This window comes from Homo sapiens, chromosome 6 (genome assembly GCF_000001405.40).
Source record: "Homo sapiens chromosome 6, GRCh38.p14 Primary Assembly".
Taxonomy (NCBI): domain Eukaryota; kingdom Metazoa; phylum Chordata; class Mammalia; order Primates; family Hominidae; genus Homo; species Homo sapiens.
This window is the reverse complement of record NC_000006.12, coordinates 130,703,342-130,719,229: the sequence shown is the minus strand read 5'-3', so window position 1 is coordinate 130,719,229 and position 15,888 is coordinate 130,703,342. Positions and strand designations below refer to the sequence as shown.

Below are 15,888 nucleotides of genomic sequence, written 5' to 3'. Positions count from 1 at the left end.
ATTCTTTGTTTTTTTCTTCAACTTTTGTTTTAAGTTCCAGGGTACATGTGCAGGGTGTGCAGGTTTGTTACATAGTAAACCTGTGCCATGGTGATTTGCTGCACAGATCGTCCCATCACCTAGGTATTAAGCCCAGCATCCATTAGCTATTATTCCTGATGCTGTCCCTCCTCCCGCCTTCCTCCCGACAGGCTCCAGTGTGTGTTGTTCTCCTCTATGTGTCCATGTGTTCTCATCGTTCAGCTCCCACTTATAAGCGAGAACATGTGGTGTTTGGTTTTCTGTTCCCACGTTAGTTTGCTGAGGATAACGACTTTCAGGTCCATCCATGTCCCTACAAAGGACATGATTTCATTCCTTTTTATGGCTGCATAGTATTCCATGTACCTCATTTTCTTCATCCAGTCTATCATTGATGGACATTTGGGTTGACACCATGTCTTTGCTGTTGTGAATAGTGCTGCAATGAACATATGTGTGCATGTATTTTCATAATAGAATGATTTATATTCCTTTGGGTCAATACCCAGTAATGGGATTTCTGAGTCTAATTGTATTTCTGATTCTAGATCATTGAGGAATTGCCACACTGTCTTCTACAATGGTTAAACTAATTTATACTCTCATAAATTAAGTGTAAAAGCATTCCTTTTTTCTCTGCAACTTCATCAGCATCTGTTATTTCTTGACTTTTTAATAAGTGCCATTCTGACTGGCATGAGATGGTGTCTCATTGTGGTTTTGATTTGCATTTCCCTAATGATCAGTGATGCTGAGCTTTTTTTCGTGTGTCATGTGTTTTTTGGCTACATGAATGTCTTCTTTTGAGAAATGTCTGTTCATGTAGTTTGCCCACTTTTTAATGGTTTAATGGGATTGTTTTCTCTTGTATTCTTTTTAAGTTCCTTGTGGACTCTGGTTATTAGACCTTTGTCAGATGGATAGATTGCAAAAATGTTTTCCCATTCTGTAGGTTGTCTGTTCACTCTGGTGACAGTTTCTTTTGCTGTGCAGAAACTCTTTAATTAGATCTCGTTTGGAAGACTACATGCTTATGGCGAGATCAGGGGAACAAAAAGAAAAAAAGTACAAAATAATATAAAGTCAGATAGAAATAAGGTGGTAAAAGATGTTGAGTCATAAAAAGTAGAATTTTGATAGGATTTCAAGGAATGTGTCAATGAGATGACCTTTCAGCAGGCTTGAATGAGATAGGAGAGTGGAGAAAGAAGGTTTTTCTCTCATTATCCCCAAACTTCCAAGGAATGAATGCTGTTGGCCCAACTTAGATCAGTGCCCAGTACTGCGAGGAGGGTGGGGCTGGGGGTAATGATCAGAGTCTTGTGGTACCAGCATGGCTAAACCCATGTGGCTTGGTAGGAAGCCAGTTTCCAGAAACAGGAAGTCTATTAGTTTCCTAGAGCTGCTGTAACAAATTACCACAAATTTGGTGTCTTAAAACAACAGACAGCATAAATTTACCCTCTTACAGTTCTGGAGGCCAGAAGTCCAAGGTGCTAACAGAGCCATGTTCCCTTGAAAGTCCCTAGGAGAGAATCCTTTCTTGCCTCTTCCAGCTTCTGGTGGCTCTTGGTGTTCCTTGGCTTGTGGCACCATTGCTCCAATCTCCTCCTCTGTCTTCACATGGACCTCTCCTCTGTGTGTCTTTCTCCTCTGTGTGTCTCCTCTGTCTGTCCTTTTCTGTCTCTTATACGGACACTGTCATTAGACTTAAGGCCCACCCTAAACCAGCATGATCTCATCTCAATCCTTACCTTAACTATATCTGTAAAGACCCCTATTTTCAAATAAGGCCACATTCTGAGGCTCAGGGAGTATATGAATTTTGGGTGACACTGTTCAACCCCCTAGAGTTGGGGAGAGTGGCTGTTGGTCTAGGGCTGAGAGAATGCCTGAGAAAGTGTCCCGTGCCTGTGCACTGTACTGGGTAAAGAGTACATAGGTTCCTGCCCTAAAGCGCTCACAGCCTATAAGTGAAGATATGTTGGTAAATTCTGGTAGAACAGTGATAAAAGTAGTAGTAGATCATATAACACTATGGAAACCCAGACAAAAGTATGGTATAACTCTACCTAGGAGTGCTAGGGAAGGCTACCCCAACATCTGGACCTGGAATTATCTTAGGTAAAGAGTAGAAATACAGCTGGTGGTTGCTGGGATTCAGACTTGAAATAGGTATTAGGAAAAGAAAGATGGTTTCTATAGCTCACAAAATTCCTATCCCTCTTTTTAAAGGGGGAGAAAGGCCGAGAAACTTGAGCACATGTTGTAGAATCAGCATGGATTTGAAACCTTGAATATTGCTAGGTGAGCTTTTGGCAGAGAAGTGCCTTGCCCCATAGATTTGTGGTTGTTTCCATGATGTTCCTTCTCAGCCAATTGTCCCTTCCCCATTCCCCTATTAACCTACTTCATTTAGTGCAGCTGTTGTTAAACAGCAAGAGCTAAAGTGACTGATAGGGAATGTATTAATTTTCTTAGCGTCATGCTGAGAGGCCTTTAACACGGTGGCTAGTAGTCAGGTCTTCCATATACCAGAATCATTTCTACTGACGCAGGGATATAAAAGGCTTTTTTGCTTCCTGCTAGGTCTGTTTCTCAGGGAGGGTAATGAGGTTCAAAAAATGCCAAGCTAGATGCTTTGTGCAATTTTGTATAGCTCAATCCATTTGCCCACAGCATGCAAAGGTCTCAGATTTTAAGAGAAATTGGAGACCTGCTCTGAATCTGAAGCACTAAGCTGCTTGTTTGAAATATTTTCTATTCCCTCGTTTCATTTGCTATCAGAAGGAATTAACCTGAATAATATTATCGTTAATATGAGTGTCTGTAGACACAGTACTTCCGTTTATTTATTGCTAGGTATTCAGGTCTTTAGTCCCAGTCTCTGGATAAATTTTTCTTAATTATTTTCTTAGCTTTATTGACAATAGTATTTGCATGAAGAAATTTACTTATTTGAGATATACAGTGAGTTGATGTAACTTCACTACAAAATGAAAGAGATCGTCAAGGAAGAAGTTTGTTTCAAGAAAATCAGTGAGACTGGCTGCTTGATTTGAGAAAAAAGAAAGAATTAGCACAGGTACATTTAAGAGAATTCACGTAATTACAAAGTAGTTTTAATGTGGTGTTTAAATATAAACTTAGTTTAGACAATTGAAGTAAACAAGACCAATGAAAACACAGTGTAAATTAAAAGACAGATCATTCCTTTTGTATTTATTTTTTTTCCTTTTAGTCTTTATTGTATTTGGTATTATCTGTTGTATCCATAATCAAAAGCAAAGGAACTCATATATTTTTCATTTGAAATAAATTATTATGCATCTTTATATTAAACACTGAGGGTTTGAAGAGAGAGATTCCTGGGATTCCCAGTTTTCCAGATCCCAAGCTCTGGATCCAATTCTGGATGCCTGCCTTCCTACCTCAGGGAAGGGCCGCCCTGACAGAAACCAGAAACCAGAAACCAGAAATGAGAACGACTAGGAAGAAATTATTGTGAGGCTTTTCGAAGGCTTAGGGATGCTTTGGCATATTCTTCCAAATTTTCCCCAACCATTGGTCAATGTCTGAAATGAGCTGTTACAGGATAACACCCACGGAGGGGTAGCTATTTAAGCAGTGACTATAGCTTTTTTCTTGAAGGTGATGTGAGGATTACAGAACAGTTTGCAGAGTCAGGCAGAGTACCTGATGGCTCTGAGGGTTTGGGGAAATTTGGGAAAACCCGCAGAAGGACCCTTTTGTAGTTGGAGTTGTGTTTATAGCGTGGGCGTTGTACTGGCTCACTGGGCTTCAGTCCTGGCTCTGGGCTGTTCTAGCTGTGTCCTTCTGTAAGCCATTTATCCTGTCTATTTTTTCTGCTCTCGAGGGGAGGTTTCAGTCTCACTGTGATCATGAAATGCAGTGTCAGAGCACTTGGGATGTAGCAAGCTCAGCATAAATGAATATTCCCCTCTCTTTCCCAATTTCCGCTGAGCCAGCCCACCTTCTTTTCAGGAGGCCAGTTTCACACCTTGCCAGCATCTAATGGTTTTCTTTGTTTTATTTATTGCACATGTCAAGAGTGAAGATAGCTTCATTTTTCCCATCAGTGTGAGAGAGACACCACCACCCTGTCGCCTCTATTACTTCCATGCAGCCCAGTCACCAACTCTATTGTTTTGACTCTAGTTCCCTCCTGGATTCTGGTCCTATATCTCCAAGGACTTGCTGGGCATTTCTACCTGGATGCTCTGCCATCTCATCAAATTCATCATCTGTTTAATCTCAAACTGAATTTACCACTTTATCCCCAAAGCTGATTTTCCCTCCTATTTTCGTGTGCGTCAATTCCATCATTCTTCTGGCCATCCAAAAGGGAATGATTAGAATTATCTTTGATGCCTCCTTCTCCTTTGAATCTTTTATATTAGACCCTGAGTGCCATTGATTTTTCTTCTCCCTCATGCTCTTTGTACTTGTTATTTCCTTTTTTGTCTTTTCTTTCATTCATTATTTACTCATCAAATACATTTATGGAGCACCTTGCAGGTGCCACTGCAACAAGGCTAACTGAATTCTTATCTCAATTTTATACTTTGATATAATTTGTAACTGGGTACAGAAGTTGGACTCTGGAGCCACAACATCTGGATTTAAATCCTGGCTTTGCAAATTTCTATCTGTAGGACTTTGACTACTTAACCACTTTGGCCACAGATTTCTCATCTGCAAAGTAGCAATCATAGTAGTTTACCTCATAGGGTTGTTAGTAGGATTAAGTGAGTTAATGCATGTTAGGAACTTAGAGTAGCTTCTGGCACACAACAAGCATAACATAGATGACAGATATTAATGAACTGGCTTCCCTCTCTTCCTTCTCCCATTCTCTGTAGCTAATCCTTCATCTGATTTTCTGGATTTGCCTTAAACAAAGCTCTCATCCTATCAGTTTATAGTTTAGTGGGTGCTCATTCCCTATAGAAGAAGGTCATTTCCTTTGCCCGACTTTCATGAGCCTATGTATCTTTGGCCCTAACCTTACTTCCTGCTATTCACAAACCTCTCCTCCCATTGTTGAGAACTTGTGCTCACCATGAGAGCAGCACCTCAAGTTTGCGTGGTCCTTTCCAGTGTTCATGGGTTTCTTATGTGTCCCTTCACCATCCTCCGCTGGCTCTTATCTAGAACACCTCCCTGTCCCTTAAAACGTGTCTTTCCTAAGGCTTCCTATCTTTTCAGTCTCACCTTTAGAAGAGATTCTTCTCAGAACAGTCTGGGCCTGAGGGATACAGAGGAATTCTTACTAGCATTCATTTAGTTCTCTCTATTTACTATAGCATACTGTGCCTACTTCAGTATTTGGCAGTCTTCTCTACCACGTTTTGGCTCCACATCATCTACAATAGGTATTGGCAAACTTTGTCTCTAAAGGGTCAGATAGTCAATGTTTTTTGGACTTTCGGGCCATATGGTGTCTGTCTGTCCTGTCAACTAGTCAGTTAAGCCACTGAAACATAGAAGCATCCGTGGCAGTACATAACCACCTGAGTGTGACCATCTTTCCATAAAGCTTTGCTTAGAAACACACGTGGCAGGCCAGGTTTGGCCTCTGGGCTGTAGTCGCTGACCTTTGACCTAGGAAGTGTCTGTTCATAAACTGAGATGTTAAAGAAAATGCTATTGATGTAGTGATTTGAATGTGAGAAGGTTGGATTCTAATGGGTCTGTGAACCTCTCCACATGTGGGCAGAGGAGATTCACCTACTGCTTATAAACATGCAGCCGATGCATTTGAAAAAAACACAAAATGCTTGCTCTATCACCATCGCTGCTCTTTGCAGAAATCCTATCTCAACTCCTGACAGCGTAGAAAGATGGGAGGTGGGGGAGGGGTGGTTGCCAGGAGGAAAGTCTCATTGCCATGGAAACAGCTTTCTGCATTCCTGCATTGGTCTGTGAACACCAGGTGGTTCACAAACAACCAAGAAGCCTCTGCCTTACATTATGAAGATAAAACTGCTTTTGACAACATTCAGAAAAATGCATATGCCTTGGCCACAGGTCCATGGGTTTCCGAATGATTTCTCACATACCTGAACATCACTGTTTTCTGAACAGCCTTGGGGAACATTTTTTCTTTAACTGATTAAGCACAGGAAACAACAGTGATTGAAATTTTAGATATTCTTTCTTTCCTTTCAGACTGTAGGTTAATGCTAGAAAAGCGTGGCTAATCAGATTTACCATTTCTTCACACTTTATTACTTCAACAAATGAGACAGGGAAACCTTCCTAATATCCAAAGCGTTCCAGGGTTTCATAAAACCGTTTACAAGATTTATTATTATTATTTTCTCCCCAGAGTTTCTTGCTCAATTTCAAATAGTAAACATCCCAATTTTGACCTTCTAAATGCAAAATGACTCTTCCTAATTGTCCCTCCCCCTTTATGCTGTGTGACAAATTGCAGATCAAATTTTTTGAGGTATAGCATGTAATAATTACTTTCTATAATTAATTTAATTATCAAACTATAAGCTTTTGTTTTCCTGCAAGGAGACACAGCTGGGGACTAAAAAAATTAGAGGCTAATGCTAGGTACTGGGAAATAGTGCCCAGATTAGAGGAAGTCCTCTCCAAGTATAGCCATGTGACACATAATGATGTTTTGGTCAATGTTGGATTGCATCTATGACCCATAATAAGATTATATCATAATTTTACTGTACCTTACCTTTTCTATGTTTAGATATGTTTAGAGACATAAATACTTACCATTGTCTTCCAGTTCCCTACAGTATTCAGTACAGTAACATGCTGTAAAGGTTTGTAGCCTAGGTAGGAGCAATAGGCTATACCATCTAGCCTAGGTGTGTAGTAGGCTGAACCAGCTAGGTTTGTGTAAGTACACTCTATGATGTTCATTTCATGGGCATCCGTGTGAAGAGACCACCAAACAGGCTTTGTGTGAGCAATAAAGCTTTTAATCACCTGGGTACAGGCGGGCTGAGTCCGAAAAGAGAGTCAGCGAAGGGAGATAAGGGTGGGGCCGTTTTATAGGATTTGGGTAGATAAAAGAAAATTACAGTCAAAGGGGATTTGTTCTCTGGCGGGCAGGAGTGAGGGTCGCAAGATGCTCGGTGGGGGAGATTTTTGAGCCAGAACGAGCCAGGAAAAGGACTTTCACAAGATAATGTCATCACTTAAGGCAAGGACCAGCCGTTTACACTTCTTTTGTGGTGGAATGTCATCAGTTAAGGTGGGGCAGGGCATTTTCACTTCTTTTGTGATTCTTCAGTTACTTCAGGCCATCTGGGCGTATATGTGCAAGTCACCGGGGATGTGATGGCTTGGCTTGGGCTCAGAGGCCTGACAGTTCATACCACAACTAAATCACCTAATAACCATTTCCTCATCTTTAAGTGATGCATGACTATACAAGGATGGTCATTTTTGGCTAGAAATATTATTGAAATTAAATTCTACCTTGGAGACATCAATTATTAGAAGAAGGCTAAATGCTCAGAGAAATATAAAAAATGTGTGTTGCCTCCATTTGACAACACCACTGACTATACATGTATTTTGGATTGTTTTTCCAGCAGCATCAATATTTTGATTCCTTTTTTATGTTCTGACTACATAATTTTCAGATATGACTTGCTAAGGTTAGGAGTCTAGAGGGGTGTTAGCAAATGTTGATCACATTCTGAGAAATCACAATACATTGCTTGACTTGAAGCTCGTGGGCCTGTGTGTAACTGAACATATGTCCTGGTTCCTTTATACACCCCTCTTTCCATTGTAGTAGTATCCTCAGAGTTTCAAAATGCTCTTTATATCCCACTTTCATGACTTCTGCTGTATCTGAATATCACTTGTTTTGTGGGTTGAATTGTGCCCTCCCAAAAGATATGCTGAAGTCCTAATCCTCAGTATGTGTGAATGTGACCTTGCTTGGAAATGGTCTTTGCAAGTATATTCACGTGAAGATGAGGTAGTACAGGGTAAGAGTGAACTCTAGGCCAATGACCAATGTCCTTACAAGAAGATGGAAATATGGACAAATATGGACACAGATACACAGAGAGAAGGATGTTATGTGAAGACTCAGACACACACACGCACACACACACACACACACACACACGAAGGACACGTGAAGATGGAGATAGAGACTGAAGTGATGCATCTATAGTCCAAGGAATGCGAAGGATTCTGGCAACCACCAGAAACTAGGAAGAGGTAAAGAAAAATCCTCCTCTAGATCCTCCAGGAGGGGCATGGCCCTACTGACAACTCAATTTCAGATTTCTGATATCTAGACGGTGAAATAATAAATTTCTGTTGTTTTAAGCCATCCAGTTTGTGGTATTTTGTTACAGCATCCCAAGGAAAATACTATGACTTGTGATATTTTCTTCAAGTTGATTCCTTTTTACATAAACACATTCATTTAAAAGTAAACTTTATAGCAGTACTGTGCATGGGAAAGCAATATTTTCCACATGTGAAGTAACTATAAGATAAATATAAAATTATTTCTCTACAACCTGTTAATGGACTACCTAATGACCTGCATTCCCAGTCCTCTGCATAACTTCTGGTTTAGCAGCCTGGTGCCCTTTGTGTTGGTTTAACCCTCCCTGTCCCAGTCTTTGAGGCAGAGAAGATTGGGCTGAAAACCTTGTTTCTACTTAGTTCATGTATCAGGATGCTTTTGGCAGAAACTAACAGAAACCTCAGTTTAAACTGTGTCGAACAATAAGGAAATGTGTTATCTCAAGGAAGAAATCCAGAGATAATGTAGGCCTCAGGTACAGTACGATTATGGCTCTGGCTCAAATTTGTTGCCCTTTTCTTCACTCTGTCTTTCTCTGTGTGTTTATAAGTAGGCTTCTCTCAGGATTACAATCTAGTTCCTAAGGGGTATATGGTGAATTGAAGGAGGGATATATGAGTAGGTAGGAGGGGGAAAGAGCCTCTCCCACATCATAGGTTATAATGACCTTCTCTTCAGTTGATTGGGTCTACTTAGGACATATGCTCATCCTCAAACCGGCAACACTTGCCAGGAGAATGTTGTGCTCTGGGTTCCTGAACCCACCATTGACAATCTTGGTATGGGTTGGTTAAGACTGATTTACGTATGCTTGGGCTGCTTGAAGAAGGACTAAATATCTAAACTAAATTGGGTCTCTGTTAAAAAATGTCATAGGGGGATTAGATGCCAAGTAGGCAAATAACAAGCTCCTCACATCCCTTTGGCAACATAATATATAATCATACCCCATCTTTACATGAATAAGCCTTCAAAAGTGTGAATGTCTACATGAAATGCGCTGGGCCTTTCCCAAAGGGAGCAAACTGAAAGCCTCATCCAGATCCTGCATCTAGTTCTAAGTTCATTATCTCTCAAGAACCTCTACCTTTTGATCTAGAAATCGCCAGTTACAAGTTAAATCACTCACCACCCTCCCCAGCATTATCTCACACAATGGTAGAAGTAAAAACCACAGTAAGTACTCATTTGGGAAGAGGGAAGAATGGAAGCTGCTCCCAATAGTCATTGGTTCAAAGCACATGTCCCACCTTGTTGGATAATAAGAGTTCATGGTTCATGTCCTGGCAGCCATTCTGAGTGCCCGTTTCTGCACTGCAAAAGAGTCTCCCATACATTGTTCTCTGCAAGCACATCTGAGATGGGCATTAAGGAGAGAGAAGAAGGATGTCCTTTCTGGGAGCTGCAAAGTTTTAGCAGTTTTTTTCTTTAGGTGTAACTTCAGACCTCTTGTGATTGCTTTAAGGTCTACACCATCACATGATGTTTTTGGCTGCAAGGGGGGGCATTTTTAATACTATCGTGGCCTTAAAAATGTAATAGGCATTTTGTTTACTTAATTCTGGTTAATTCTATTGATTAGAAAACACAACCAGAGATATTACTCAGACACGGTCTTTGTGTCTAGGATTTTTTCCCACCAGCTTTACTGAAGCATAACTTAAAATTAAATTGTATATATTTATGTTGTTACAATATGATGTTTTGATACATACATATATTGTGAGGTGATTACCACAGTCAAGCTAATTAACACATCCATCACATCACATAGCTATTTTGTGTGTGTGGTGAGAACATTTAAGATCTATGCTCTTAGCAATTTTCAAGTATACAACTTCTTATTAACTACAGTCACCACTGTTTGATAGATCTCCAGAACTTATTCCTCCTGTCTAACTGAAACTTTGTACCCTTTGATCAATATCTCCACAACCCTCTTCCCTCCACCCTCTGGCCCCTGAATACCACCATTCTAATCTGTTTCTTTGAGTTCGGATTTTTTAGATTCCACATGGAAGTGAGTCTGTGCAGTGTGATAGTTTGCATGTTGTCCCCTCCAAATCTCATGTTGAAATTTAACCCCCAATGCTGGAGATGGGGCCTAATGAGAATGTTTGTGTTATAGGGGAGGATCCCTGATGAATAGATTGATGCCCTTCTGGGGGAAAAGGTAAATAAGTTCTTTCTCTTTTAGTTCCTGAGAAAGCTGATTGTGAGTAACAGCCTGGCCTCTCCCTGCCCCTTCTTCCTTCCTCTCTCACCATGTGATCTCTGCATACACCGGCTCCCCTCCACCTTCTGCAATGAGTGGAAGCAGATGCTGGCACCATGCTTCTCGTAAAGCCTGTAGAGCTGTGAGCTAAACAAACCTATTTACTTTATAAATTACCCAGCCTCAGGCATTTCCTTATAGCAACACAAACAGACTAAGACATGCAGTATTTATCTTTCTATCCTTGGCTTATTAAATTTAGTTTCCTGTCCTCCAGCTTCATCCACATTGTTGCAAATGACAAGATTTTCCTTATTAAGGATGAATAATATTGTATGTATGTCTATATATGTATGTGTACATATGTACATATTATCAAATGTGTAGTTTACAAATAATTTCTCCCATTCCTTAGGCTGTCTCTTGTCTCTGTTGATTGTTTCCTTTGCTGTGTAGAAGTATTTTCATTTCATGCATGTTTTGGATTATCTGTCTGCTTGCTATCTGCTTCTGTGCCTTGCCCTATAGCTCTAGCCTGCAGTTGAAAGGCTGATGCTCTATGATACTTCAAAGCAATAATCTAATCTGTAACTCCAGGCTGCATCCATTCCAGTTGCTGCTTCACATTGAACCTATTTAACTCTTAGGCCTGTAGAGAAGGCTAAATGGTGGTGTACAAGAAGGGCCTGAGTGATCATGCATGTCTTTTGCTCCAATTTTTTCTCCTGACAAGTCTCCTTAGTCTCTGTCTCTGTTGAAAAACTTTAGTTTGTAATAGAGAATTTTAATTTTACAATCTTGAAAGGCAGACAATTATCAGACTCCCAGTCATTTTGGCTTGCAGGCTATAGGCAAAAATAATTTTTTTGAGCACATATGACATATACTTATTCATTTTACTTATTTATTATATTTTAAGTTCTGGGATACATGCGCAGAACATGCAGGTTTGTTACATAGGTATACATGTGCCACGGTAGTTTGCTGCACCCATCAACCTGTCACCTACATTAGGTATTTATCCTAATGCTATCCCTCCCCTTGCCTCCCACCCCCTGACAGGCCCCGGTGTGTACTGTTCCCTCCCTGTGCCCATATGTTCTCATTGTTCAACTCCCACTTATAAGTGAGAACATGTGGTGTTTGGTTTTCTGTTCCTGTGTTAGTTTGCTGAGAATGATGATTTCCAGCTTCATCTATGTCCCTGCAAAGGACATGAACTCATCCTTTTTTATGGCTGCATAGTATTCCATGGTGTATATGTGCCACATTTGCTTTATCCAGTCTATCACTGATGGGCATTTGAGTTGGTTCCAAGTCATTGCTATTGTGAATAGTGCTGCAATAAACATACGTGTGCATGTGTCCTTATAAAAGAACGATTTATAATCCTTTGGGTATATACCCAGTAATGGGATTGCTGGGTCAAATTGTGTTTCTAGTTCTAGATCCTTGAGGAATCACCACACCATCTTCCACAATGGTTGAACTAATTTACACTCCCACCAAAAGTGTAAAAGTGTTCCTGTTTCTCCACATCCTCTCCAGCATCTGTTGTTTCCTGACTTTTTAACAATCGCCATTCTAACTGGCGTGAGATGGTGTCTCATTGTGGTTTTGATTTGTGTTTCTCTAATGACCAGTGATGATGAGCTTTTTTTCATATGTTTTTTGGCCACATAAATGTCTTCTTTTGAGAAGCGTCTGTTCATATCCTTCACCCACTTTTTGATGGAGTTATTTTTTTCTTGTAAATTTGTTTAAGTTCCTTGTAGATTCTGGATATTAGCCCTTTGTCAGACGGATAGATTGCAAAAATGTTCTCCCATTCTGTAGGTTGCTTGTTCACTCTGATGATAGTTTCTTTTGCTGTGCAGAAGCTCTTTAGTTTAATTAGATCCCATTTATCAATTTTGGATTTTGTCACCATTGCTTTTGGTATTTTAGTCATGAATCCTTTGCCCACGCCTATGTCCTGAATGGTATTGCCTAGGTTTTCTTATAGGGTTTTTATGGTTTTAGGTCTTACATTTAAAGCTTTAATCCATCTTGAGTTGATTTTTGTATAAGGTGTAAGAAAGGGGTACAGTTTCTGTTTTCTGCATATGGCTAGCCAGTTTTCCCAACATCATCTGTTAAATAGGGAATCCTTTCCTCATTGCTTGTTTTTGTCAGGTTTGTCAAAGATCAGATGGTTGTAGATGTATGGTGTTATTTCTGAGGCCTCTGTTCTATTCCGTTGGTCTATCTATCTGTTTTGGTACCAATACCATGCTGTTTTGGTTACAGTAGCCTTGCAGTGTAGTTTGAAGTCAGGTTGCGTGATGCCTCAGCTTTGTTCTTTTTGCTTAGGATTGTCTTGGCTATACAGGGTCTTTTTTGGTTACATATAAAATTTAACGTAGGTTTTTCTAATTCTGTGAAGAAAGTCAATGGTAGTTTGATGGGAATAGCATTGGATCTATAAGTTACTTTGGTTAGTATAGCCATTTTCACGATATTTATTCTTCCTATCCATGAACATGGAATGTCTTTCCATTCCTTTGTATCCTCTATTATTTCCTTGATCAGTGGTTTGTATTTCTCCTTGAAGGAGGTCCTTCAGATCCCTTGTAAGTTTTATTCCTACGTATTTTATTCTCTTTGTAGCAATTGTGAATGAGAGTTCACTTATGATTTGGCTCTCTGATTGTCTATTATTGGCGTACAGGAATGTTTGTGATTTTTGCACACTGGTATTGTATCCTGAGACTTTGCTGAAGTTGCTTATCAGCTTAAGGAGATTATGGCCTGACATGATGGGGTTTTCTAAATATGCAGTCATGTCATCTGCAAATAGAGATAATTTGACTTCCTCTGTTCCTATTTGAATACCCTTTATTTCTTTCTCTTGCCTGATTGCCCTAGTCAGAAATTCCAATACTATGTTGAATAGGAGTGGTGAGAGAGGGCATCCTTGTCTTGTGCTGGTTTTCTAAGGGAATGCTTCCAGCTTTTGCCCATTCAGTATGATTTTGGCTGTGGGTTTGTCATAAATAGCTGTTACTATTTTGAGATGTGTTCCATCAATACCTAGTTTATTGAGTGTGTTTAGCATGAAGGGGTGTTGAATTTTATTGAAGGCCTTTTCTGCATCTATTAATATAATCATGTGGTTTTTGTCTTTGGTTCTGTTTATGTGACGGATTATATTTATTGATTTGCATATGTTGAACCAACCTTGCATCCCAGGGAGGAAGCCGACTTGATCGTGGTGGACAAGCTTTTTAATGTGCTGCTGGATTCGGTTTGCCAGTATTACATTGAGGATTTTGCATCGATGTTCATCAGGGATATTGGCCTGAAATTTTCTTTTTTTGTTGTGTCTCTGCCAGGTTTTGGTATCAGGATGATGCTGCACCATAAAATGAGTTAGGGAGGAGTCCCTCATTTTCTATTGTTAGGAATAGTTTCAGAAGGAATGGTACCAGCTCCTCTTTGTACCTCTGGTAGAATTTGGCTGTGAATTCTTCTGGTCCTTGGCTTTTTTTGGTTGATAGGCTATTAATTATTGCCTCAACTTCAGAACGTGTTATTGGTCTATTCAGGGATTTGACTTCTTCCTTGTTTATTCTTGGGAGGGTGTATATGTCCAGGAATTTATCCATTTCTTCTAGATTTTCTGGTTTATTTGCATAGAGGTGTTTATAATATTCTCTGATGGTAGTTTGTATTTCTGTGTAATCATTGGTGATCTTCCCTTTATCATTTTTTATTGTGTCTATTTGATTCTTCTCTCTTTTCTTCCTTATTAGTCTGGCTAGCAGTCTATCTATTCTATTAATCTTTTCCAAAAACCAGCTCCTGGATTCATTCATTTTTTCAAGTGTTTTCGTGTCTCTATCTTTTTCAGTTCTGCTCTGATTTTAGTTATTTCTTGTCTTCTGCTGGCTTTTGAATTTGTTTGCTCTTGCTTCTCTAGTTCTTTTAATTGTGATGTTAGAGTGTCGATTGTAGATTTTTCCTGCTTTCTGATGTGGGCATTTAGTGCTATAAGTTTCCCTCTAAACACTGCTGTAGCTGTGTCCCAGAGATTCTGGCGTGTTGTGTGTTTGTTCTCATTGGTTTCAAAGAACTTAATTATTTCTGCCTTGATTTCATTATTTACCCAGTAGTTATTCAGGAGCAGGTTGTTCCATTTCCATGTAGTTTTGCAGTTTTGAGTGAGTTTCTTAATCCTGAGTTCCAATTTGATTGCACTGTGGTGTGAGAGACTGTTATGATTTCCTTTCTTTTGCATTTGCTGAGGATTGTTTTACTTCCAATTTTGTGGTCGATTTTAGAATAAGTGAGACGTGGTGCTGAGAAGAATGTATATTCTGTTGATTTGAGGGGGAGAGTCTGTAGATGTCTCTTAGGTCCACTTGGTTCAGAGCTGAGTTCAAGTCCTGAATATCCTTGTTACTTTTCTGTCTCATTGATCTGTCTGATATTGACAGTCGGGTGTTATAGTCTCCCACTATTATTGTGTGGGAGTCTAAGTCTCTTTGTAGGTCTCTAAGAACTTGCTTTATGGATCTGGATGCTCCTGTATTGGGTGCATATATATTTAGTATAGTTAGCTCTTCTTATTGCATTAATCCTTTTACCATTCTGTAATGCCCTTCTTTGTCTTTTTGATCATTGTTGGTTTAAAGTGTATTTTTTCATAGACTAGGATTGCAACCTCTGCTTTTTTTTTGCTTTCCATTTGCTTGATAAATATTCCTCCATCTCTTTATTTTGAGACTATGTTTGTCTTTGCGCATGAGATGGGTCTCCTGAATATAGCACACTGATGGGTCATGACTCTTTATCCAATTTGTCAGTCTGTGTCTTTTAATTGGGACATTTAGCTCGTTTCCATTTAAGGTTATTATTGTTATGTGTGAATTTAATCCTGTTGTTATGATGCTAGCTGGTTATTTTGCCCATTAGTTGATGCGGTTTCCTCATAGTGTCAATGGTCTTTACGTTTTGGTTTGTTTTTGCAGTGGCTGGTACTGGTTTTTTCTTTCCATATTTTGTGCTTCCTTCAGGAGCTCTTGTAAGGCAGCCCTGGTGGTGACAAAATCCCTCAGCATTTGCTTGTCTGTAAAGGATTTTATTTCTTCTTCACTTGTGAAGCATAGTTTGGCTGGATATGAAATTCTGGATTGAAAATTCTTTTCTTTACCAATGTTAACTATCAGCCCCCACTCTCTTCTGGCTTGTCGGGTTTCTGCAGAGAGATCCACTGTTAGTCTGGTGAGCTTTCCTTTGTGGGTAACCTGACCTTTCTCTCTGGCTACCCTTAACATTT

At 39.7% G+C, this 15,888-nt stretch overlaps 1 annotated feature.

The window, feature by feature from the left end:
- Nucleotides 7,005-7,519: an enhancer, noted in NCBI's record as "OCT4-NANOG-H3K27ac hESC enhancer chr6:131032856-131033370 (GRCh37/hg19 assembly coordinates)". NCBI's record gives its function as "activates a minimal SCP1, AML or CMV promoter by ChIP-STARR-seq in naive H9 embryonic stem cells {active_cell/tissue: H9 hESC(naive)}" and the evidence as "EXISTENCE:reporter gene assay evidence [ECO:0000049][PMID:30033119]".